The sequence below is a fragment of the Homo sapiens genome, chromosome 7, assembly GCF_000001405.40.
Source record: "Homo sapiens chromosome 7, GRCh38.p14 Primary Assembly".
NCBI classification, from domain to species: domain Eukaryota; kingdom Metazoa; phylum Chordata; class Mammalia; order Primates; family Hominidae; genus Homo; species Homo sapiens.
In genome coordinates, this window is record NC_000007.14 from 23,731,724 (window position 1) to 23,755,717 (window position 23,994).

General features: G+C 38.8%; 1 protein-coding gene across 9 annotated transcripts in view; it reads left to right on the forward strand.

Moving 5' to 3' along the window:
- The window catches only part of STK31 (serine/threonine kinase 31), a 122,432-nt gene that overhangs the window by 21,642 nt on the left and 76,796 nt on the right, over positions 1 to 23,994 (forward strand). For 7 of the 9 annotated variants that reach the window (NR_048542.2, XM_011515449.4, NM_001260504.2 and 4 more), the window contains exons 7-10: positions 3,815 to 4,173; positions 5,181 to 5,355; positions 20,994 to 21,109; positions 22,592 to 22,751. Coding sequence is in view for 8 of the 9 variants with exons in the window: in XM_011515449.4 (XP_011513751.2) it covers positions 3,815 to 4,173; positions 5,181 to 5,355; positions 20,994 to 21,109; positions 22,592 to 22,751 (810 nt within the window). In the remaining variant the exon portion in view is untranslated. The remainder of the gene's footprint in view (positions 1 to 3,814; positions 4,174 to 5,180; positions 5,356 to 20,993; positions 21,110 to 22,591; positions 22,752 to 23,994) is intronic. The other 2 variants (XM_011515452.4, XM_006715758.5) reach the window with 1 other exon arrangement.

The following is a 23,994-nucleotide window of genomic DNA, read 5'->3' on the forward strand; positions in this document are numbered from 1 at the left end:
ATTACATTACTAGTCCTACATGCCTGACTTTAAAAATTATATGTAGGGTAAGGGAATGAGAGCTAGAGCTTGGAATTTGTGTTTAACAATTTAAAGGCCTTTTAGCTTGTTTTCTAATATATACAGGCAGAATTCAGAGGAATAAAGTAGAAAGCAAGTGATCCTTTCTTGTTTCTGAATGAAGCTTACCAGTTTGGAAAACAGAATGAAATATATTTCTAAAAAGTGACATTCATCTTTTTTAATGATTGAAAGCCTTATGTTCTAAACCAGTGACCAGATTTATTTTAAAAAGTTAAGTTTTGTCCAGTGCGGTGGCTCATGCCTGTAAGCCCAGCACTTTCGGAGGCTGAAGTGGGTGGATGGCTTGAGTCCAGGAGTTTGAGACCAGCTTGGGCAACATGGGAAAACCCTGTCTGTATAAAAAATACAAAAAAATTAGCTGGGCATGGTGGCGCATGCCTGTAGTCCCCGCTACTCAGGAGGCTGAGGTGGGAGGATTGCTTGAGCTTGAGGGGTCAAGGCTGTGAGACCCTGTCTGAAAAAAAAAAGATAAAAGTTAAGTTTTATACCTTTTAAATGCCTAAATATATTTTTTAAGTGCAGGTATATATCTCCAGCTCATAAGGGTTAGTGGAAAATATATTTCTTATGATAAAAATTAAATGTTTATATGTATTATATATAAAGAGAAAACATACATATTTTTGGTATAGTATTAAAACACCCATGTATCATATACTCTGTCATTCTTTTTGTTAGTTGGAACTGAGGAAGACTCAGATTTTATTTCAAGTTCAGGGTTCTGTGTTTATGATTATATATGATTCAGGGAGAATCTGTTTGAACCACTTCATACTAATTGTGATTGGTGACTGTAACTAAAATGAATTTGAATTCAGAGAGAAATCTAAAATTAGATTTCTGCATAAAAATTCTATGCAAGGAGTAATGGACCTTTAGAACATTCAGCTTTAGGTAATTGAAACTTTTGTAGACAATAGGTTATTTCCATTTGAATTCACGTATTGCCCAAAGACAGGGTTTCTTGAAATATTAATAATTCCACATATACCAGCAATAATTTTCAAAGACTTCCTAGGGGCAGAAGTTGTTCTTGAATTTTAGATAGACTTTTGATAATAAGAGTTGAAAGCAAGGGTTTTTATGTGAAAGAGGTTAACTGGAAAACTACATCTAATTGATTAAAATCCTAACATATATTTCAGTTAGTTATATTTTGAGGTTGTTAGCTTTGCCTGCTTGATCCCATTTGATTGGTGATAACTTCTGGACTGTATTTGTTATTTATACTGATATAATTGATATAATATATTGATATAATATATTGAATTCTTGGTGAATTCAAACCTCTTGATATAATGTGTGTATTTCTGAATTTTATGCCTTGGAAAATTTATAAAACCTGTGTTTTTGTTAACCTAAAGTATTATAGGAATTTTATGCCTTGAAAAATTTATAAAACCTGTGTGTTTGTTAACCTAAAGTATTTTCGTGTTTTGTGGATTTAAAAAATTATTTTTTCAGCTAGGCACAGGGTGTGTGCCTGTAATCACAGCTACTTAGGAGGCTGAAGTGGGAGGATTGCTTGGGCCCAGGAGTTCAAGACCAGCTTGAGCAAACATAGCAAGACCCCATCTAAAAAATTCTTTTTTTTTTTTTTTTTGGGTAGTGATAGTTGGTGATTCTTGAGCATATGTAGTTTGAGTCTCCTTCTCTGCCCCTTCAGATGCATCCTTGTAGGCCCAGGTATCCTCAACCTGTTGTTAAAATAAATGTGTCAGCTGGGTGCGGTGTCTCACGCCTGTAATCCCAGCTCTTTGGGAGACTGAGGTGGGCGGATCACGAGGTCAGGAGATCGAGACCATCCTGGCTAACATGGTGAAACCCCATCTCTACTACAAAATACAAAAAATTAGCTGGTCATGGTGGTGGGTGCCTGTAGTCCCAGCTACTTGGGAGGCTGAGGCAGGAGAATGGTGTGAACCTGGGAGATGGAGCTTGCAGTGAGCCGAGATAGCGCCACTGCACTCCCACCTGGGCGACAAAGCCAGACTCCATTCAAAAAATAAAAAAATAAAAAAAAAATGTGTCCCAATGAAATAATTTTTTTTGTAATCCTATGTATTTCATACATTTAAAAACATTCTGAGAAAAAGTCCAAAGATTTCACCTGACTGATAAAGGAGCCCCATGGCCACAAAAAGGTTAAGAATTCCTACATCGGTCTCAATTTTACCCTCTATACTACTGTGTAGTTGAAGAGAAAATAGTTCTTAAAAATGTTATTTAGTTTCTTGGACCTTGACTTCCCCACACCCCCTATTTCTTTTAAAAATGTGACCGGTTTGTATTTTGTGGTTTTTAGTGTGTTTTTACACTCTTGTTTGTCTGATTATTACGGGTATGATGTCCTGTTCGGTTTGCTTTGTTTGCATAAACTATATTGTTTTTTGTATTTATAGAGTGGGAATGTAGCTAAAAATACAGCTCCACCTTCTAAGAGAGATACGTTTCATCAGATGATGTCCCTATTTCAAGGAAGTTGTGAACCAGTAAATTTGAGCTGTACCTACCCATTTTGTGTTTTAAGTTTATGCTTTATATATTCCGAAAAAGAATACTTACTTTTAATTTCCTTTATAGTACGCACAGGGTGAAATTCAGGAAAATAACCTAGAGAAATTTGGGAAGAGCAGTTAGATTGTGTCAAAGTAATTTTAGTAATTACAGTTTTATGGAGGAGTAGATAAGTTCTTATTAAAATTAAGTCTCAATATGTTCCAATCCCAAATATGTTTTAGGTGTATCTTTGCTTAGTTCTATTGATAGATATTCAGTAGCTCAAAGTTAGCAAGCACCTAATTTCTCATATGCCAGTTGTACAGTTGTAGCCCTCTTAAGCAAAAGTCTATTTAAGAGAGTTTTGAATGTAGAAGGCCAGGCGAGGTGGCTCACCCCTGTAATCCCAGCACTTTGGGAGGCCGAGGTGGGCGGATCACTTGAGGTTAGGAGTTTGAGACCAGCTCAACTGACACGGTGAAACCCCATCTCTACTAAAAATAGAAAAATTAGGCAGGTGTGGTGGTGTGTGCCAGTAGTCCCGGTTACTGGGGAGGCTGAGGCAGGAGAATCGCTTGAACCGGGGAGGCAGAGGTTGCAATGAGCCGAGATTGTGCCACTGCACTCCAGCCTGTGCGACAGAGTGAGATTCTGTCTCAAAAAAGAAGAAAAACAAAGTTTTGAATATGTATTTGTGACACCTCACATTTTATAATTTCAGTTTGTTGATTTTTAAAGAATTTGTTCGTATTTTGTGCTTTCGGTTTGTGGCTTTTTTTGCTTCTGCTCGTCTTACTTTAAAACCAGAGTTCCTGACTCTGCCTCTAAAACTTTCAAAGTTTTGTAAAATCGAGTACCTTTTCTAGATATCAGAGATTCATTTTTATGCGCTATTGCTTTTCAGGAGACCATTATATTTAGTTGGGGCCAAAGTAATCAATGTAATCTGCTGGGTTAAAAAAAACTATTCTAGGATATTTACTTAGTATACATTTTTAGATTTATAAAGGTGGCTGCCTGTACAAGTATTTAGCTCTACTTGATTTTAGCAAGTGTGTAATTGGAATACATTCATATACGTGGAGATGCATATTTGCATATTATAGCCAACAGCAAAGTAATATAGAGATTTTAGAATGAAGAAATATGATGCTTGGAAAAAATGGGTAGGAACAAAATAAGGGAAGAGAAACATGTTGGTGTAGCTGGTTTATGTTTTCTTCTTTCTTAGGGCACAACCTTTTTGGGGAGCTTGATTTTTGAAAAGGAAATAAAAATGAGAATTAAAGCAACCTCTGAAGATGGAACAGTTATTGCTCAGGCTGAGTATGGCAGTGTGGATATAGGGGAAGAGGTGCTTAAGAAAGGATTTGCAGAGAAATGCAGACTTGCTTCCAGAACTGACATCTGTGAGGAAAAAAAATTGGATCCTGGTCAACTTGTTCTCAGGAACCTCAAAAGCCCCATTCCTTTGTGGGGGCATAGATCAAACCAGTCAACCTTCAGCAGGCCCAAGGGGCACTTAAGTGAGAAAATGACTCTTGACTTGAAGGATGAAAATGATGCAGGCAATCTTATAACATTTCCAAAGTAAGAATTTAGTCTTCACTAATTTCTAATTGATGGTAGAGGTCCCTGTCATAGTAGAATAGAAGTTAAGGCTTATGCTTTTGGAATCCTTTACTGTGTCAGTGATTTTAAGGGCTGATGCTGATATTTCTGTTTTTCTCAAATGTATTCCTCTCTGCTTTAGCAGGGATATTTTCATTAAAAGCTATTTTGAAAGAAAAATAACTCCTGAATTATTTTAAAGTTTACATACCAACTTTTCATGCCAACTATTTGGAATACACTTATCAAAAATAAAAATCTGCTCCTAAATCTGAATTATTCAGGCAAAGTCAGAATTTCAGATAAGATTTGAAGTTCTTCCTATGGCTTTAGGAATATTTTAAAGAGTTTCAGGAAATTGCCTTTACTTTTTTAATAAAAGTGAGGCTCTTTCTTCTTCTTGTGAAAACTTGTGATGGAGTTTGATTATTCCGAATACTTTACTTTTTAGATAATTTTAAATTATCAACTTGAAGCAGAAATCCAGATTTGATATTTATATGTATCAAAACAGTCTTCTATATCATGGTCCAAGCCATGATGCTGTATCTTGGATGACATAGCTGTTTGATGGGATCTCATCAGTGCTTTAGGAGCTAAACTGTCAAATGGGGGTGGGAGGCGGTGGACGGGGGGATCACAGGGGATCACAGGACGGGGGGATCACGGGGGGGGGATCACAGGAGGGACTGGAAAAAAACTAATACAGAAATGCTTTTTACTTTGTTCTCTGTAGTTGATAGTGCTATGAAGAAGTTGGAATATTTTTTTTTGAGAATTAGAGGCATTATTGAATTACGACTTCAGTTATAAAATCTTGTTTGCATTAAATTATTTTTTAATATTATGAACTAGGTAAATATTTTAGTTTTCAAAATTAACTTTCAGATATATTGTGGCATAAAAGGACCAAGATAACTTAGATTTGTTTTCTGTGTCAGCCTTATACAGTTTGTTTGTCAAAATAAATGAATTTGTTTTTATAGGGAAAGTTTGGCTGTTGGTGACTTTAATTTAGGGTCTAACGTCAGCCTGGAAAAAATTAAGCAGGACCAGAAACTGATTGAAGAAAATGAAAAACTTAAAACAGAGAAGGACGCTCTTCTTGAAAGTTATAAGGCGTTAGAATTGAAAGTAGAGCAGATTGCCCAGGAGCTGCAGGTATGTTCAGTGGCTTAAGGTGAAGAGTGTCCAACTGGGAAATCTGTGTACTCATCTGCTGCTATTTATTTTTCTGTCACTTTCCTTTCCTTCCCCACCTCATTCTCTCCTTTGCTAATCCCTGTATTTGTTTATAGGTGAATTTTTTTTCATATACTCCAGACTAATCATCTTTGGATTTCATTGGATGTTTGCAAATTTAATAATTTCTCATTTACATTTCCCTTTATGTTCTAAAAACTTTTCAACTAAGGCAATTTTCAAACATTCTAAAAGGAGAGAGACTTGAATAATTAATTCTCATGTGCCCATCACCCAGTTTATACAATTATAACACATGGCCAATCTTTTTAAAAATTTACACTTCCTGGATTATTTTAGAAGAAGTCCCATTCATATTATTTCATAGTCTTCAGTATGTATGACTAATAGAAAAGGACTTTAAAAAACCGTAATAATAATACTATTCATACTTAAAAGTAAACAATAATTCCTTAATATTATTTATATCCAGGCAGTATTCAAATTTGCCATATTGTGTCATGAATGCCACATGATTGTAGGCATGTTGATTGTAGTTTTCTCCAATCAGGATCCCAGTTAGGCACATACATTGCATTTTGGTTGATATTTCTCTTAAATTGCTTTAATGTGTTTCCTTGTGTTGCTTAACTGGATTCTTGATCTCCACGTGTGTCTTCTTTTATGGTAATCACGTCTCCAGATTTGCTCAGATTTTAGTTCAGAAATTTTCCCCCCCAGGGATACAGTGTGGTTGATAAGTGTGTGTGTGTGTGTGTGTGTGTGTGTGTGTGTATGTGTGTTTAACACCAAATCTGTTGTTCCTGCACTAGTTCCTCCAATTCTCTGACACCAACTGGGTGTCTAATAATTCAGCTCCATTCTGACACTACATTACCTGTACTTAGCATATACCCTACAAGTTAAGGACTCAGTTCCATAAAGCTGCCTCTACTTTAGATGCCAGCCACAAATGGGGTCCCCAGGCTACTTGCATATCTACCCCCCCACTATAAATTCGGGGTTTCCCATGACCCTCCCTCAGGTTAGATAATTCACTAGAACTACTCACAGAACTCACGGAAGTGCTATACTTACAGTTTTATTATTAAGGATATAACTCAGAAACAGCCAAATAAATGGAAGATATATATAAGGCAAGGTACTGGGGCAGGAGGTACAGAGCTTCCATGCCCTTTCTGAGTGTGCCACCCTCCCAGGTCATGGATGTGTTTATCAACCCAGAAGCTCCCCAAATCTCATTCAGAGTATTTTGGTTTTGTTTGTTTGTTTGTTTTGAGACAGTCTTGCAACATCTTGCTCTGTTGCTTAGGCTGGAGTGCAGTGGTGTAATTTCTGCTCACTGCAACTTCTGCCTCCCGGACTCAAGCAATCCACTCACTTCAGTCTCCTGCCTAGCTCGGACTATAGGTATGTGCCCCATTCCTGGCTAATTTTTGTGTTTTCTTTTCTTTTTTTTTTTAAACTCAAACTTGCCTTATTTATATCCCCAATGGCATGATCTCGGCTCACTGCAACCTCTGCTTCCCAGGTTCAAGCGATTCTCCTGCCTCAGCCTCCTGATAGCTGGCATTACAGGCACCCGCCGCCATGTCTGGCTAATTTTTGTATTTTTAGTAGAGACGGGGTTTCACCATGTTGGCCAGGCTGGTTTCGAACTCCTCAGGTGATCCACCCACCTCTGCCTCCCAAAGTGCTGGGATTACAGGCATGAGCCACTGTGCCCAGCCCACATTTTCTTTATCCAGTCTATCATTGATGGGCATTTGGGTTGGTTCCAAGTCTTTGCCATTGTAAATAGTGCTGCAATAAACATATGTGTGCATATGTCTTTATAGTAGAATGATTTATAATCCTTTGGGTATATACCCAGTAATGGTATTGCTGGGTCAAATGGTATTTCTTGTTCTAGATCCTTGAGGAATTGCCACACTGTCTTCCGCAATGGTTGAACTAATTCATACTCCCACCAACAGTGTAGAAGTGTTCCTATTTCTCCACATCGTCTCCAGCATCTGTTGTTTCCTGACTTTTTAATGATCGCCATTATAACTGGAGTGAGATGGTATCTCATTGTGGTTTTGATTTGCATTTCTCTAATGACCAGTGATGATGGGCTTTTTGTCATAGTTTTTTGGCCGCATAAATGTCTTCTTTTGAGAAGTGCCTGTTCATATTCTTTGCCCACTTTTTGATGGTGTTGTTTTTTTCTTATAAATTTATTTTAAGTTCCTTGTAGATTCTGGATATTAGCCCTTTGTCAGATGGACAGATTGCAAAAATTTTCTCCCATTCTGTAGGTTGCCTGTACACTCTGATGGTAGTTTCTTTTGCTGTGCAGAGGCTCTTTAGTTTAATTAGATCCCATTTGTCTATTTTGGCTCTTGTTCCCATTGCTTTTGGTGTTTTAGTTATGAAGTCCTTGCCCATGCCTATGTCCTGAATGGTATTGCCTAGGTGTTCTTCTAGGGTTTTTACTGTTTGGGGTTTTACATTTAAGTCTTTAATCCATCTTGAGTTAATTTTTGTATAAGGTGTAAGGAAGGGGTCCAGTTTCAGTTTTCTTCATATGGCTAGCCAGTTTTCCCAACACCGTTTATAAAATAGGGAATCCTTTCCCCATTGCTTGTTTTTGTCAGGTTTGTCGAAGATCAGATGGTTGTAGATGTGTGGTGTTATTTCTGAGGCCTTTGTTCTGTTCCATTGATCTTTATATCTGTTTTGGTACCAGTAGCATGCTGTTTTGGTTACTGTAGCCTTGTAGTATAGTTTGAAGTCAGATAGCGTGATGTCTCCAGGTTTGTTCATTTTGCTTAGGTTTGTCTTGGCTATACGGGCTCTTTTTGGTTCCATATGAAATTTAAAGTAGTTTTTTCTAGTTCTGTGAAGAAAGTCAGTGGTAGTTTGATGGGAATAGAATTGAATCTATCAATTACTTTGGGCAGTGTGGCCATTTTCATGGTATTGATTCTTCCTGTCCACGAGCATGGAATTGTATTTTCTGTACAGTCAGGGTTTGCTGTGTTGCTTAGGCTGGTCTCAAACTTCTGGGCTCAAGCAATCCTTCCTCTTTTGGCTCCAGAGTTGCTGGGACTACAGGCGAGCCACCATGCCTTGCTAAATTAATGAACTTTAAACACATTTGACATGTTTTAATCCACTGAAGCCATTTTTTTTCTTTTTGATGCACACATTATCCCCTTTGAAGTCTTTTTAAATTAGCTTCTGTGTCCTTTTGACATCATAACAGCTGATATTCATAATGGATAAATCACCATTATTAAGTTTTTCATTAATCTGTGACCTAATGATTTTTGCAGCCATCGATGGTTGTTGTCTGCAAGCATGTTTTCATCAGGTGCTGTATTTCTTTTTTTTGTTTTTATTATTATACTTTAAGTTTTAGGGTACATGTGCACAACGTGCAGGTTTGTTACATACGTATACATGTGCCATGTTGGTGTGCTGCACCCATTAACTCGTCATTTAGCATTAGGTATATCTCCTAATGCTATCCTTCACCACTCCCCCCACCCCACAACAGTCCCTGATGTGTGATGTTCCCCTTCCTGTGTCCATGTGTTCTCATTGTTCAATTCCCACCTATGAGTGAGAACATGCGGTGTTTGGTTTTTTGTCCTTGCGATAGTTTGCTGAGAATGATGGTTTCCAGCTTCATCCATGTCCCTACAAAGGACATTAACTCATCATTTTTTTTGGCCAGGTGCTGTATTTCTTAGCTGGAAAATTTCAACTATTTAGTCATGCTGAAGCCTAGTTTGTTCAGTAAAGGCAAGATAAATACTTTATTCATTCCCTTTATATGTACATGTTTTCAGAAAAATAAGTTTATTCCCTAGGATTGTCCAGTGTTGACCAGCAAGGGTTATTTGTTCTCCTTAAGTATTATTATGAACTAATGAATTTTAAACATATTTGAGTGTTTTAATTCACTGCAGCCATTATTCTTTTTGATGCCCATCTTATACTCTTTGGAAGTCTCTTTAAGTTGTTGCTCTGTCCTTTTGATGTGATTCCAGTAGTCTGATAGCTTCCTTGTTTTCTGGTGTCACAAGATGTTCCATACTCATCTGCATTTCCTACCCTAATCCTGGAAAAGTTATTTCTCCAAGCTATAGTTCTTTTTAGTGGCAAGAGGTATTTAGATACCAGACTTTGGGTGCTAGGGATATATATAGCTATTGCTTTAGTCTTTGCTTCTAGGTTATAGAATGTCTAATTGATAGGGTTAGGAAATATTATTTTCTAATGCTATATTGAGATATCATTTACATATAGTAAAAATGCACAAATACTGTGTAGAACTTGATAAATTTTGACGTATGTATACTCTCATGTAACCTGAATCACCCTCATCAAGATTGGCTGATGAAACTATCATTAATCAGATATTTCACCTAGTATCAAGCTCTACCAATAATTTCAGGGACACAGGTAACAAAGAGACTCCTTTGTTCCAGAGCAGGTGCCCCAGTCTCTGACCAGAGACTAGAATGTCTGCTGTGGCTACTGCTGCCAGGCATCAAACAATGTCTCTAAACTCTCATAAGGGTGCCATCTGTAGTATTGTAACTAGAGAGGGTGGGGCCCCTCTCAGGTGAGCAGTGTGGATATGAAGCAGTGGGGAGTGTGTTCTACTCAAGTGTAAGTCTCACAGCAGCCTATAGCAGAGCTTTGGGTGTTGTCCCAGGTGTGCATAGGAGAGCCTGGCTTTTCTGCCCCTTCTTGGCTGGGCAGCAGCTGCAGTCATGTCAGCCTAAAGTCAGGCCAAAGTTGGGCCACAGCTCAGAATTAAACTCTCCAAGTGACACTTTTGGCCTGTGCCCTGGGATACTGGGGCACCACCCTGGTGAACAGCATGGGCAAAAAGCTGTGGGAAGTGTAGTCTGATTGTGTCTCAGTTTCACAGCAGCCCATTGCAGGGCTGTGGGTATTCTATAGATATGTGTGGGGTAGCCTGGTTTCCCTGTTGGTCCTTTGCTGGGCAGTGACTGGGGCTGTGTCAGCCCAAACTCAGGCCAAGGGCAGGACTCAGCCCAGCATTGAACTCAGAAAATGGTGCCTTGGGCATGGGGCTAGAGAGAATGAGTCACCACCCAGCCAAGCAGCATGAGCAAGAAGGTGTATGGAGTATGATCTACTTATGTCTCAGTCTCAACAGCAGCTTGTAGCAGGGTGACAAGTATCCTCCTGGGGGTGCATGGGCATGCTTGTTCTCCCTCTCCTTTTTTGGAGCAGTACAGTGGCTGCAGCCATGTCTATAGGTCCCTGGTATCTAAACTCTTAAAGTGGCTCCCTGCTGAGGCTGCTCCAGACTTGGGTGCCTGTGGGATTCTGTGTGGATTCCTTTTCTGGAACAATGTCTTTGTGTGATCTTTAGGCAGCTCCATATGTGAGGTGTGAGGCCCTAGTGGATCGAGGGTTTCTCCTATAGCCAATGTTGTAAATGCTTGTTTCAGAGCTCTGGGGATTTTTCTCTTACTGTTTCCCTGCGTACAGTAGCCTTTCCCAGCTCTCAGCTGGTTTCTGGCTAGGCATGCTTCCTCAAACCCTCTCCTTTCTTACTTCTGGGGCTTTCTCTCTCTTCTCTGGTGAATCCAAATATTCATTCTTAGTCTGTTCAAAATGTGTCTACTTAACTATTTCTGATTCTTCCCTGTGGAAAAGGCACACACTATCTAGTTGGCCATCTTGATTATTTTCTCTCTCACTCATTGTTTATCATTGTGGTTTGGTGTGTTTCTGTAGTGGGAACATTTGATTCCTTTCTTGTTTTACTTGTGTGTTTGCTTTACTCTGTGGGTTTTATACTTTTTTTTTTTTTTTTTTGAGACAGAGTCTTGCTCTGTCGCCCAGGCTGGAGTGCAATGGCACGGTCTTGGCTCTCTGCAACCTCCACCTCCCAAGTTCAAGCAGTTCTCCTACTTCAGCCCCCTGAGTAGCTGGGATTATAAGGACCTGCCACCATGCCCAGTTAATTTTTGTACTTTTTAGTAGAAACGGGGTTTCACCATGTTGGCCAGGCTGGTCTTGAATTCCTGACCTCAGGTGATCTGCCCACTTCGGCCTCCCAAAGTGCTGGGATTACAGGCGTGAGCCACTGCGTCCAGCTGGGTTTTTAACTTTCATGTGTTTTTATGATCACAGATTGTGTATTGCCCTCCCTTAAGCATCTCTTGTAGGGATGGTCTAGTGCTGATGAATTCCCTCAGCTTTTGCTTGCCTGGGAAAGACTACTACTTCTTCATTCATGAAAGACAACTTTGCTGGATATAGTATTCTTGACTAGCAGTTTCCTTTCAGCGCTTTGAATATATTGTTTCATTCTCTCCTGTAAGGATTTTACTGAGAAATTTACAGTTAATCTGATGGGGGTTTCCTTATAATTGATGACACGCCTTTTTCCTTCTGTTTTTAGAAATATCTTTGTCTTTGACTTTTGACAGGTTGACTGTAATATGCTGTGGAGAAGACCTTTATGAATTTTATCTGTTTAGGCATCTCTGAACTTCTTTTATTTGAATGTCTAAATCTCTTGCTAGACTTGGGAAGTTTTCAGCTATTTTATTAAATATAAGAAGTTTTTGATCCCTTTTTTTCTCTTTTTCTGTGACATTGAAAATTCAAATACTTGTTTGCAGTGTGGTGTCTCATATGTCTTGTAGGCTTTTTTCATTCTTTTTTGTTCTTTTTTTAAATTTTTGATTGACTGGGTTAGTTCAAAAGTCTTGTCTTAAGTTCTGAAATTCTTTCTTCTGTTTGATCTAGTATTTTTTGTTGTTGTTTGTTTTGTTTTGAGGCAGGGTTTTGTTTTGTTGCCCAGGATAGAGTGCAGTGGCACAATCACAGCTCACTGCAGCCTCCAACTTCTGTGCTCAATCAGTGCTCCTGCCTCAGCTTCCTGAGTAGCTGGGACTACAGGTGCATGCCACCATGCTGAGCTAATATTTTAAATTTTTATTAGAGATGAGGTCTTGTTATGTTGACCAGGCTCTTCTCAACCCCTGAGCTCAAGTGATCCTCCTGCCTCAGCCTCCCAAAGTGCTGGGATTATAGGCGTGAGCCATCATGCCAGGCCTAGATCTAGTATATTGTTGAAGCTTTGGAATGTATTTTGTATTTCATTCGGTGAATCCTTTAGTTCTAGGATTTCTTTTTTTTTTTTTAATGATACCTATTTGGTAAATTTCTCATTTATAACCTGAATTGTTTTTCTGATTTCTTTATATTATTTTTCAGAATTATCTTTTATCTCACTGAACTTATTTAAAATCAGTATTTTGGATTTTTCATCTGGAATTTCAGAATTTCTTTTTGATTATGATCTGTTGGTGGAGAATTACTAACTTCCTTTGGAGTTATATTTTCTTGTCTTCTCATGTTTCTTTTGTTACATTGATATTTGTGCATTGGGTGTAACAGTTGCTTCTTCCAATTTTTTGGAAATAATTTTGTAGGGGAGGATCTTTTCCTGAAGATGTACCCATGGTGTTGGTTGGGTAGGGCCCTTTGGCTTTAATTCTGGGTTCATGCAGTAGCATAGTCTTTGTATGATTCCTTTGGATGTGAATAGTCAGTGGCGTTTGTGATTTCCTCAATGGCTTAGGGTGTGGTTGTTAGTGGGGGCTGCGGAGAAGTTTTGCTGGGTAAAGGAATGCCATGTTTGCCAGTCCTCAGACCCCAATGGTGGCAATGCCAGGCCAAGTATGCTTGTCCTTGGTTTCCAGGACAGCACATGCTGGCACTACTGTTAGAAAGCCCAGGTTGGCCAGTGCTTGGGTTTCCAGGAGTCTTGCTTGGGTGCTAGTAGCAGCAGTGGTGGGCCAGACAGGTGAGTGTGTTCTTGGGCTCTTAGGCAGTGGGCACGATGTGGGTGATAGTAGCAATGGCTTGACAACCCTGTGCTTTCCAAGTGGTCTACACTGGTGTTAGTGCTGGCTGTGATGTGCTGAGTGGGTCAGTCAGGCCCACAGGTAGCATGTGCAAGTGGATGCCAGCTGTGTTGGTAGTGGCAGGTTGGGTAGGCCTGACCTTGGGCCCTTGGGAGGAGTGTTGAGGTACCAATGGTGGACTGGGCTGGGTGATACCCAGGGCCTTGGGTGGTGTGCTCAGACACTGGTGAGAGGGGTTATGGAGCTGGGTAGAGTGGACCTGTCCTCAGGTCCAGGTGGTGAGTGCAGACTCTGATTGCGGTAGGCAGGTGCAGGATGATGCCCAGGTTTCCAGTGGAATGCTTGAGTGGGGGTGGCAGTGGTTGCTTTGCAGCCCTGTCACTGGGGAGGGTGAGGTTGCTTTCACTGGCAGCAGATGTGTGGAGGTGGCTGGTGAACATGTACTTTGCTCTTACATTTGCTCCAGTGGAGGCAGTTTGCAAGGGCAGCAGCTGCAGGTGGGAAAGTTTGTCCTTTGGGTGTGTGAAAATGTGCAGCAGCTTTGCTGCTTAGGGCAGCGGGGTCACTGTAAATGGCTCACACTTTGACACTGGTGGCAGCAGCAGCTAGCATTGCCTCAGGTTCTGGGTTGGGTAGCCCTCCCTTGGGTCATGTGAAGATGCATGGCTACCCTTCTGCTGGTGGGGTTGGGGTTCCTGCCAGTGGCTTGCAGTTTGGCCTCAGGTGTGGCAGCAGCTAGTGACAATGGTGGTTGTGGGATGGGGTAGCCTTTCCTCTGGGTCCGTGAAAATGCATGGTTGCCCTTCTTGGGCGTAGAGTGGCTGCCAGTGGCTTGTGTTTTGATTCTGTGGCAGCAGCAGCCAGTAGTGGTGGTGGCTGCAAGCAGGATAGCATTTCCTCAGGGCCATCAAGATGTATGGCTGTTCCTCTGCCGTAGGGAACAGGGTTGCTGCCAGTGGCTCCTACCTCTTCGCGGGTACTTGCAGCCAGCTGCAGTGGTGGCTGTGGGCAGGAGATGTCAGCTTTGCTCCAGGGTTGTGGAGTTGTAGGGGATGTTGGGCCCTAGACCATGATGCAGTCTACTTGGGGCTGGGCACACAAAATGGCAGCATGCTGTAGTTGCTTAGGATTGGGGGGTGGGTGTATGGGACCCAACATGAGCTCCCTGTATGGAGCAATATACTTGTGTAGTCTCTGGGCAGCTCTCTGTGTCTCAGAGCACATGAGGATCAAAGGTCCCTTTCGTGGCTAGAATTGCAGGAGTTTGCAGTGAGAATATGGGCCACTGGGGTCTCTCATTTACCCCTTCTATGCATTGAGGAGCCTGTCCAGGCTCCCAGCCAAGAAGGCTGCTTCTCTTCTTTCTCCTTCCTTCCTTTATGTGTTTCCTGTCACTTCTCTGTTGAAGTCCCATTTCTCTCTTAGATGATCTATTTGAAGTGTGATTATCTACTTGCTATTTTGGCTCTTTTCTCAGAGGGAGGCAAATAACAGTGGCCTCTAGTGAGTCATCTTGAAGCCCCTGTCTGAAATAATGTAATCTAACAAACACGTTTTTGTGTGTTATATTTATTGTATACTGTATCTTTACAATTAAGTAATCTAGAGAAGGGAAAATATTATTAAGAAAATCATAAGGAAGAAGAAATGTATTTACGTTTTATTAAGTCTTAATCCTCATTGTCTTCATGTTGAGTAGGCTGAGGAGGAAGAGCATGGGTTGGTCTTGTCTCACAGGTGACAGAGATGGAAGAGGTGGAGGGATAAATAAGTTAAATAATTTTAACTTAATATTATTTAATTTTAAAATAAGTTAAAATTATTTAACTTACTAACTTATTTAAAAATAAGTTAAAATTATTTTAAAATAAATTAAACTTTTTACTTTTTTTTCTCAATAAGTTATACAAGGTGTACCAGGCAGGCACACCTTGTGTAACTTTTTGAGAAAAATCTGTTTGTAAGTGGATCTGTGCAGTTCAAACCTGTGTTGTTCAGGCATCAACTATGTTTCTTTTCATACATTGTTGGATTCAGTTTTCTAATTTTTTGGAGGGTTTTTACATATATGTTCGTGACATATATTGGTTTGTGGCTTTCTTTTTGTGTAATGTTGTTTTCTGATTTCAGTATTAGGGTGATGCTGGCCTCATGGAATGAGTTTGGAAGTATTTCCTCTGCTTCTATTCAATGACTGAGAATTGGTATAGTTTTTTCCTTAAATGTTTGGTAGAATTTACCAGTGAACTTATATAGGCCTGACATTTTCTGTTTTGGAAGGTTATTAATGGTTGATTCAATTTTAAAAATAGAAATAAGTCTGTTCAGATTATTTTTTTATTTTTATTTTTTTGGAGACGGAGTCTCACTCTGTTGCCCAGGCTGGAGTGCAGTGGCGCGATGTCTGCTCACTGCAAGCCCCACCTCCTGGGTTCACGCCATTCTCCTGCCTCAGCCTCCCAAGCAGCTGGGACTACAGGCGCCCGCCACCATGCCCGGCTAATTTTTGTATTTTTAGTAGAGACGGGGTTTCACTATGTTAGCCAGGATGGTCTCAATCTCCTGACCTCGTGATCCACCCGCCTCGGCCTCCCAAAGTGCTGGGATTACAGGTGTGAGCCACCATGCCCGGCCTGTTCAGATTATTTTTGTGTGAGCTTTGGCAGATTACGTCTTTCAAAGAATTAGTTCATTTAATCTAGGTTATCAAATTTGTGGGACTTGAGTTGTTCATAATATTTTTAAGTTTTAATTTCCATTGGATCTGTACTGATGCCCTCTCTTTCATTTCTGATACTGGCAATTTGTGTCCTCTGTCTTTTTTTCCTTTATTAGCCTGGTTATAGTGTTACCAATTTTATTCATCTTTTCAAAGTATCAACTTTTGGTTTTGCTGGTTTTTCTCTCCTGATTTCCTGTTTTCAAATTGATTGATTTATACTTTCCTATTTTTGCATATTAAGATTTAATTTGCTAAAGGAGATTTAATTTCCTAAGAAGCAAACTTAGATTATTAATATTAGTTTCTTTTCACTTCTAATATATACGCATTTCAATGCTGTAAATTTTTGTCAATGCACTGCCTGTGCTGCGTTCTACAAATTTTGGTAAGTTGTATTTTTATCTTGAAAGTATTTTTAAATTTGTCATGAGATTTCTTCTTTGACTCATGTGTTATTAGTAATGTTGGTTAATCCTTACATGTTTTGAGATTTTTTTCAATTATCTTTCTGTTATTGATTTTTAGCTTATTCTACTGTGGCCTGAGAGCAGACATTGTACGGTTTCTATTCTTTTAACTCTGTTAAGGTGTGTTTTATGGCCCAGAATGTGGTGGCGTATTTTGGTGAATCTTCCATGTGATCTTGACAGGAATGTATATTCTGCTGTTATTGGATGAAGCATAGTTCACCCTTGAACATGAGTTTGAACTACATGGGTCCACTTATATGTGGATATTTTAAATAAAAGTTACATCAGTTATGCCTGCCTCTCCAGCCTCCCCTTCCACTTCTTCCCTCTCTGCCATCGGTGAGATAGGAATACCAACCTCTCCTCTTCCTCCCTGTCCTCAGCCTGCTCAATGTGAAGATGAGGGAGGATGAAGACCTTAATGATGATCCACTTCCATTTAATGAATAGTAAATATATCTTCTCTTTATGCTTTTCCTAATAACATTTTCTTTTTTTTGGCTTACTTTACTGTGAGAATACAGTATATAATACATATAACATACAGAATACTTGCTAACTGATGGCTTGTCTTATCAATAAAGCTTCTGGTCAACAGTAGGCTATTAGTAATTAGCTTTCTGTGGAATCTAAAGTTATACATAAATTTTCAAGACTGTTGGGGGTTGGCACCCCTAACACTTGCTTTGTTCAAGAGTCAGCTGTAGTCTGTAGATGTTAATTATCAACTGTACACTATAGATGTTAATTATATCCAATTTATTGGTGTTGAGTTCAAATGTATCTTTACTGATTTTTCCATGCTAGATCTGTCCACCTCTGATAGAGGGATGTTGAAGTCATTTTTGATTTCCGTTACAGTGTTTTGATATCTAACATTTCTTTTTGGTTCATTCTTAGGATTTCCATCTCTTTGCTTACATTGCCCGTCTGTTGTTACTACATGCTATCTACTTTCTCCATTATGATGCGTAGCATATTAATCATAATTGTTTTAAATTCATTGTCTGATAATTCCAACATCCCGTCTACATCTGGTTCTGAATGTTTTCTTTCTTCAAACTGTAGTTTTTGCCCTAGAGTATGCCTTGTAATTTTTTCTTTTCTTTTCTTTTCTTGTTTTTTTTTTTTTTTTGAGACAGGGTCTTGCCCTGTTGTCTAGTCTGGAATGCAGTGGCGTGATCTTGGCTCACTGCAACCTCCACCTCCCGGACTCAAGTGATCCTCCCACCTCAGCCTCCTGAGTAACTGGGACTACAGGTGTGCACCACCATGCCTGGCTAATTTTTGCTTTTTTTTTTTTTTTGGGGGTAGAGACCATTTTGTCTTGTTGCCCAGGCTGGTCTTGAACTCCTGGGCTCAAGCAGTTGACCCACTTCAGCCTCCCAAAGTGCTGGAATTATAGGCATTAGCCACTGTGCCTAGCTGTAATTTTTTCTTGATAACTGTATATGATATATCAGGTAAAAAAGCAATTGGTTTAAATATGTCTTTAATAATGTAATTGTAAGATGTACGCGGGAGTGATGTGTTGTATAGTCCTGTGATTAGGTCTCAGTCTTTTTGTGAGTCTATGTCTCTGGCCCATGAATTCACAAGCATTTCTCAATTTTTTCCTCCCCCTTTAGGTGGGATAGGATGGCTAGAGTAGGATGGAATTGGGTATTTACCTCCTCCCATGTGGAAGGATAGAGCTGGCTGGAGTTGGATATTTCCATCCCCCAGGTCAGTTAGGCTTTGATGAAACCTCAGCAGGTTAGGCTCTGCTTAACTGGTTTCTTTTCAGGGTAGATCTTATTAAGAAGTACAGAGTGCTCTGGGATATTTCAGAATGGTTTGTTTCCCCCCCCGCCACTGCTGGAAACATGAGGGGATTTTACTGCGATGATATGTATGATACTGTATTTACTGTGAGAACCTGATCTAGCTCCTGGAGGTAAAATTCACAAAAGCATGGGGGCCCCCATGACTGGATGCCCCTGGAGCTTTCAACTCTCAGTCGTGCCCACACCTAGTTTCCAGCAGTTTGTCAGCAGTCCAGGTTTTCCTATCTAGGCACTGCTTCCTGTAGAAATTTCTGTTCCAGTATGTTGTGATTCTCTGTATCCCTGTCTGTCTGTTTAATTTTAGGAGTAGCAGTTTTCCCAGTGACCCTACCTATCTCACCTTTTCTTACAGATCTGAGAAAAGTTGTTGATTTCCACTTTGTTCAGCTTTTTAATATGTGTTAGGATGGCATAGTGACTTCCAGGCTCCTTACATGTGAAACCAAAACCTGAAGTCCCCATATTATTGTTTTAAATCTTTTGTTCTTTTGTAATATACTTTTAGAGATAAAGATTTCTTTCTAAGCATTGCTTTATTTACAAACCACAAATTTTGATATGTTTTGTTTATTATTTAGTGAAGCATATTTACAACATTTCCTCGTGAATCCTAGTTTGAACCATGAGCTACTTAGAAGCATGTTGCTTAATTTCCACAAATTTGAAGATTTCCCCAATATACATTTTATTTTTTTCTTGGTACATAGTATTTGTATATGTTTACTGGTGTATGTGTGATATTTTGTCATATGCCTAGAATGTGTAATGATCAAGTGTAGGTATTTAGGATATCGATCACCTCAAGGATTTATCATTTCTGTGTGTTGGGAACATTTCAAGACCTCTCTTCTAGCTATTTTGAAATATACAATACATCATTAACTGTAGTCATCTGCTATCAAACATTAGAACTTATCCCTTCTATCTAACTGCGTGTTTGTACTTATTAACCAAACTTTCTTTATTCTTCTATCCCTACCACATCCTTCCTAGCCTCTGGTATCTATCATTCCACTCTCTACCTCCATGAGATCAACTTTTTTTAGCTCCTACATATTAACAAGAATGTAAAATATTTTCTTTCTGTGCCTGGCTTATTTCACTTAATAGAATGACATCCAGTTCCATCCATGTTGCTGCAAATGACAGGATTTCATTCTTTTTTTATGGCTGAATAGTATCCCATTGTATATACTGCATTTTCTTGATCCACTGATGGACACTTAGGTTGATTCCATGTCTTTGATGTTGTGATAGTGCTGCAGTAAACTTAGGAGTGCATGTTAATTCCTTTCTTTTGGATAAATACTCAGTGGTTCCTGCAATATATTTTGTTACTGATTTCTAATTTAATTTTATTGGTATCAGAGAGCATACTCTGAATGGTTTCAGTCCTTTTAAGTTGATTGACATTTGTTTCATTACCCAGCATATGGTCTGCCTGGAAATGTTTCATGCATTTTTAAAAGTTATGTGTATCCTATAGCTGTTGGGTGAAGTGTTTTATAAATATTAGGCTGAATTGGTTGATAGTGGACTTCAAGTCTTTTAGACCCTGACAGATTCTTTCTCTACTTATTCAATCAACTACTGAGAGAGAAGTACTGAAATCTAAATATTATTGTAGTTTTGTCTGTTTTATTCCCTTTTGTTCTATTAGATTTTGTGATTTTTTTAAAAAAAGTTCTATTATTATGCAAATATACATTTAGAATTGTTGGATCTTTTTGATGAATTGACCCATTTATCTTTATGAAATGTCTCTCTTTATTGCTTAGAAAATACTCCCTGTGCCAAAGGGAGTTGTTGCTTGACATTAATACAGGCATATTTGCATATAGTATTTTTATTCGAAGTTCCTAGAGCAGTCAAATCTGTAGGGACCCAAAGTTGAATGGTGGTTTCTGGGGGCTTGGGGGAGGGGGAGGGGAGATAGGGAGTAGTGTTTGAGAGATAGAGTTTTAATTAGGAAAGATGAAAAAGTTCTGGAGATGGATGGTGCTGATGATTGCACAACAATATGAATGTACCTAATGCAACAGAACTATACATTTTAAAATGGTTAAAATGATAAATTTTATGTTATGTATATTTTACCACAATTTAAAAAAAGACATAGCACCAAAAAAAGATGATGAATGAATAAATTCCAAAAAGCTGTGCCAGGAGTGATAATGTATAGTTTGTTTAGAATCATTGAAGCCTTCATTCTTTATTTAATTGAAGCAGTTAAAAATAAATATTAATTTGAAATAAAAATCAGCAGCTAGATTCTATTATATTTTATTCAAATTTGGAATTTTTTTTTTTTTTTTTGAGACAGAGTCTGGCTTTGTTGCCCAGGCTGGAGTGCTGTGGCACAATCTCGCCTCGCTGCAACCTCTGCCTCCCTAACTCAAGCCATCCTCTCACCTTAGCCTCCTAAGTAGCTAAGCTACAGGCATGCACCACCACACCCATGTATTTTTTCGTAGAGACGGGGTTTTGCCACATTGTCCAGGCTGGTCTCAAACTTCTGAGCTCAAACCATCTGTCCTCCTTGGCCTCCCAAAGTGTTGGAATTACAGGCATGAGCCACTGTGCCCAGCCAAAAATTATTTAAATTATAGCAGAAATACAGTTTCCTATTTGGGTCTCACGAGAATGTGTTTATTCTTTGTTTCAGCAAGAGAAGGCAGCTGCTGTGGATTTGACTAACCACTTAGAATACACTCTGAAGACCTATATAGATACCAGAATGAAAAATCTGGCAGCTAAGATGGAAATACTGAAAGAAATGAGGTAGGTAAAAGCATATTTTTCAGAAGGATATTTTAAACTAATTTTTAATCAATTGGTGCTTTGTTTAAATTGTGTGCTTGCCATTTTTGCTTTAAAATTTAACCTTTGTATTTTTATGACTTCAAAGAGAGAAAGATAGTTATTTCTGAGATGAATTTTATACTGTTTTTGTCAGGTTTCTACTGTCACTGCTTGGAGCTAGAGTGTTCTAAGGTTATAACTGAGACTGAAATTGAAAAAACAGCAACATAGCTTTTAAGTGATAGTTTGATGGGAAACTACCATATCCAGTTATTTTGCTTGGGGTTATTTTCAGGAGTACAGCATGTCCTTGAATAACGTGTTTTCATTCAACATTATTTCATTATAACATTGAAGAAGAAAATCAATTCCTAGCTGGAGCCCCACTGTCTGTGTGGAGTTTGCACATTCTCTCCATATTTGGGTGGTTTTCTTGGAATACTGTGGTTTCCTCTCACATCCCACTTAGGTGAATTGGTGTGTCTGTATTGTCCCAGTATGAGTGAGTGTGTGGATGAGGGTGAGTGTGCCCTGCAATGCAAGGGTGTCATGTCCAGGATTGGTTCCTACCTTAATGCTCTGAGCTGCTGAGATAGATGTGGCCACCTGCAACCCCTGGATTGGAATAAGCGGGTTGGAAAATGAATGAGTGAATGAGTATATACAGATTATCATAAAATAAAAATTTGTGAAGTATGCAAGAATCATACAGATGCCTTTGCAATAAGCGATGTGACATGAAAGCATTCAGCAAGCCCACTACGTTTGTTATTGTTTGTTTTTGAACCTGTGGTGGTAGGGGGCGCTTCTTAGAATTTTCGCTTGCAAACATTTATTCCTTGATTTAACCCTACTGTCACCCACTCATTCACCAAAGTTTGGGTAAATAATTATCTTTGTTGTTTTTATTGCTTTTTCTTAAATGTGTGTATAGGACACGTATATTTTAGTGTTTAATATTAGAAATGTTTTGGGTCTTTATTTGGAAGTGCTGTTTTTGTGACTAAAAATATGCCATAGGAACTTAACTCTTGTTTAGATCAATTAGCCTATGATACTATGGGTTTCTTATATGTCTTTTCTCTTAGACATTGTAAATTATCTGTAGACCAAAAATTGAAGGTTCATTTGATACCATTTCAAATTCTGCAGACTTTCGAAGTTGCCTTTTTTATAGTTTAAAAAATTTTTAATTTTTTCATATTTTTTATGTCATGAAATTAGTATATCCACAGTTGTTTTTTAATTAAAAGTTTATATTAAATTATGCATGTCTGCATAAAAATATGTGGACTGAAAAAAATAAGTTATACATGATTTTATATAAAGTTTTAAAAGGTACCCCTTCAAAGCCAGTGCTGTAAACACTAACTTTTAGACCATTACTATTAAAGTGTAACTTTTTCTCACACCAGCTTTCTAATTTATTGATCTTCTTCTTTTTGATGTTTTTAAAAATAGGCATGTCGACATCAGTGTCCGTTTCGGAAAAGACCTTTCAGATGCTATACAAGTGTTGGATGAAGGGTGCTTTACTACTCCAGCTTCTTTGAATGGATTAGAGATAATATGGGCAGAATACAGTCTGGCTCAGGAGAATATTAAAACTTGTGAATATGTGGTGAGTTGGGAATTTTTCTCTATTGTGGTTTTTATCTGTTGAACATAAGGAAGTGTTTTTTTAATTTCTTCTAAAAAAAATAACAGGATACATGTGCAGAATGTGCAGATTTGTTACATAGGTATACATGCGCCGTGGTAGTTTGCTGCACCTGTCCTCTAAATTCCCTCCCTCACCCCCCCATTTCCTAACGAGCCCTGGTGTGTATTGTTTCCCTCCCTGTGTCCATGTGTTCTCAATGTTCAACTCCCACTTACGAGTGAGAACATGTAGTGTTTGGTTTTCTATTCTTGTGTTAGTTTGCCGAAGATGATGGCTTCCAGCTTCATCCATGTCGTTGCAAAGGACATAAACTCGTTCCTTTTTATGGCTGCATAGTATTCCATGGTGTATATGTACCACATTTTCTTTATCCAGTCTATCGTTGATGGGCATTTGGGTTGGTTCCAAGTCTTTGCCATTGTGAACAGTGCTGCAGTAAACATACGTGTGCATGTGTCTTTATAGTAGAATGATCTATATTCCTTTGGGTATATACCCAGTAATGATATTGCTGGGTCAAATGGTATTTCTGGTTCTAGATCCTTGAGGAATCGCCATATCGTCTTCCACAATGGTTGAACTAATTTACGTTCCCACCAACACTGTGAAAGTGTTCCTGTTTCTCCACATCCTCTCCAGCATCTATTGTTTCCTGACTTTAATGATCGTCATTCTAACTGGTATGAGATGGTATCTTCTTGTGGTTTTGATTTGCATTTCTCTGATGATTAGTGATGTTGAGCTTTTTTTCATATGTTTGTTGGCCACATAAATGTCTTCTTTTGAGAAGTGCCTCTTCATATCCTTTGCCCACTTTTTGATGGGGTTGTCTTTTTCCTGTAAATATGTTTAAGTTCTTTGTAGATTCTGGATATTAGATCTTTGTCAGATGGGTAGATTGCAAAAATTTTCTTCTGTTCAGGAGAACAGGTTGCCTGTTCACTGTGATGATAGTTTCTTTTGCTGTGCAGAAGCTCTTTAGTTTAATTAGATCCCATTTGTCAATTTTGACTTTTGTTGCATTTGCTTTTGTTGTTTTTGTCAAGAAGTCTTTGCCCATGCCTATGTCCTGAACGCTATTGCCTGGGTTTTCTTCTAGGGTTTTTATAGTTTTAGGTTTTACATTTAAGTCTTTAATCCATCTAGAGTTAATTTTTGTGTAAAGTGTAAGGAAGGGGTTCAGTTTCAGTTTTCTGCATAT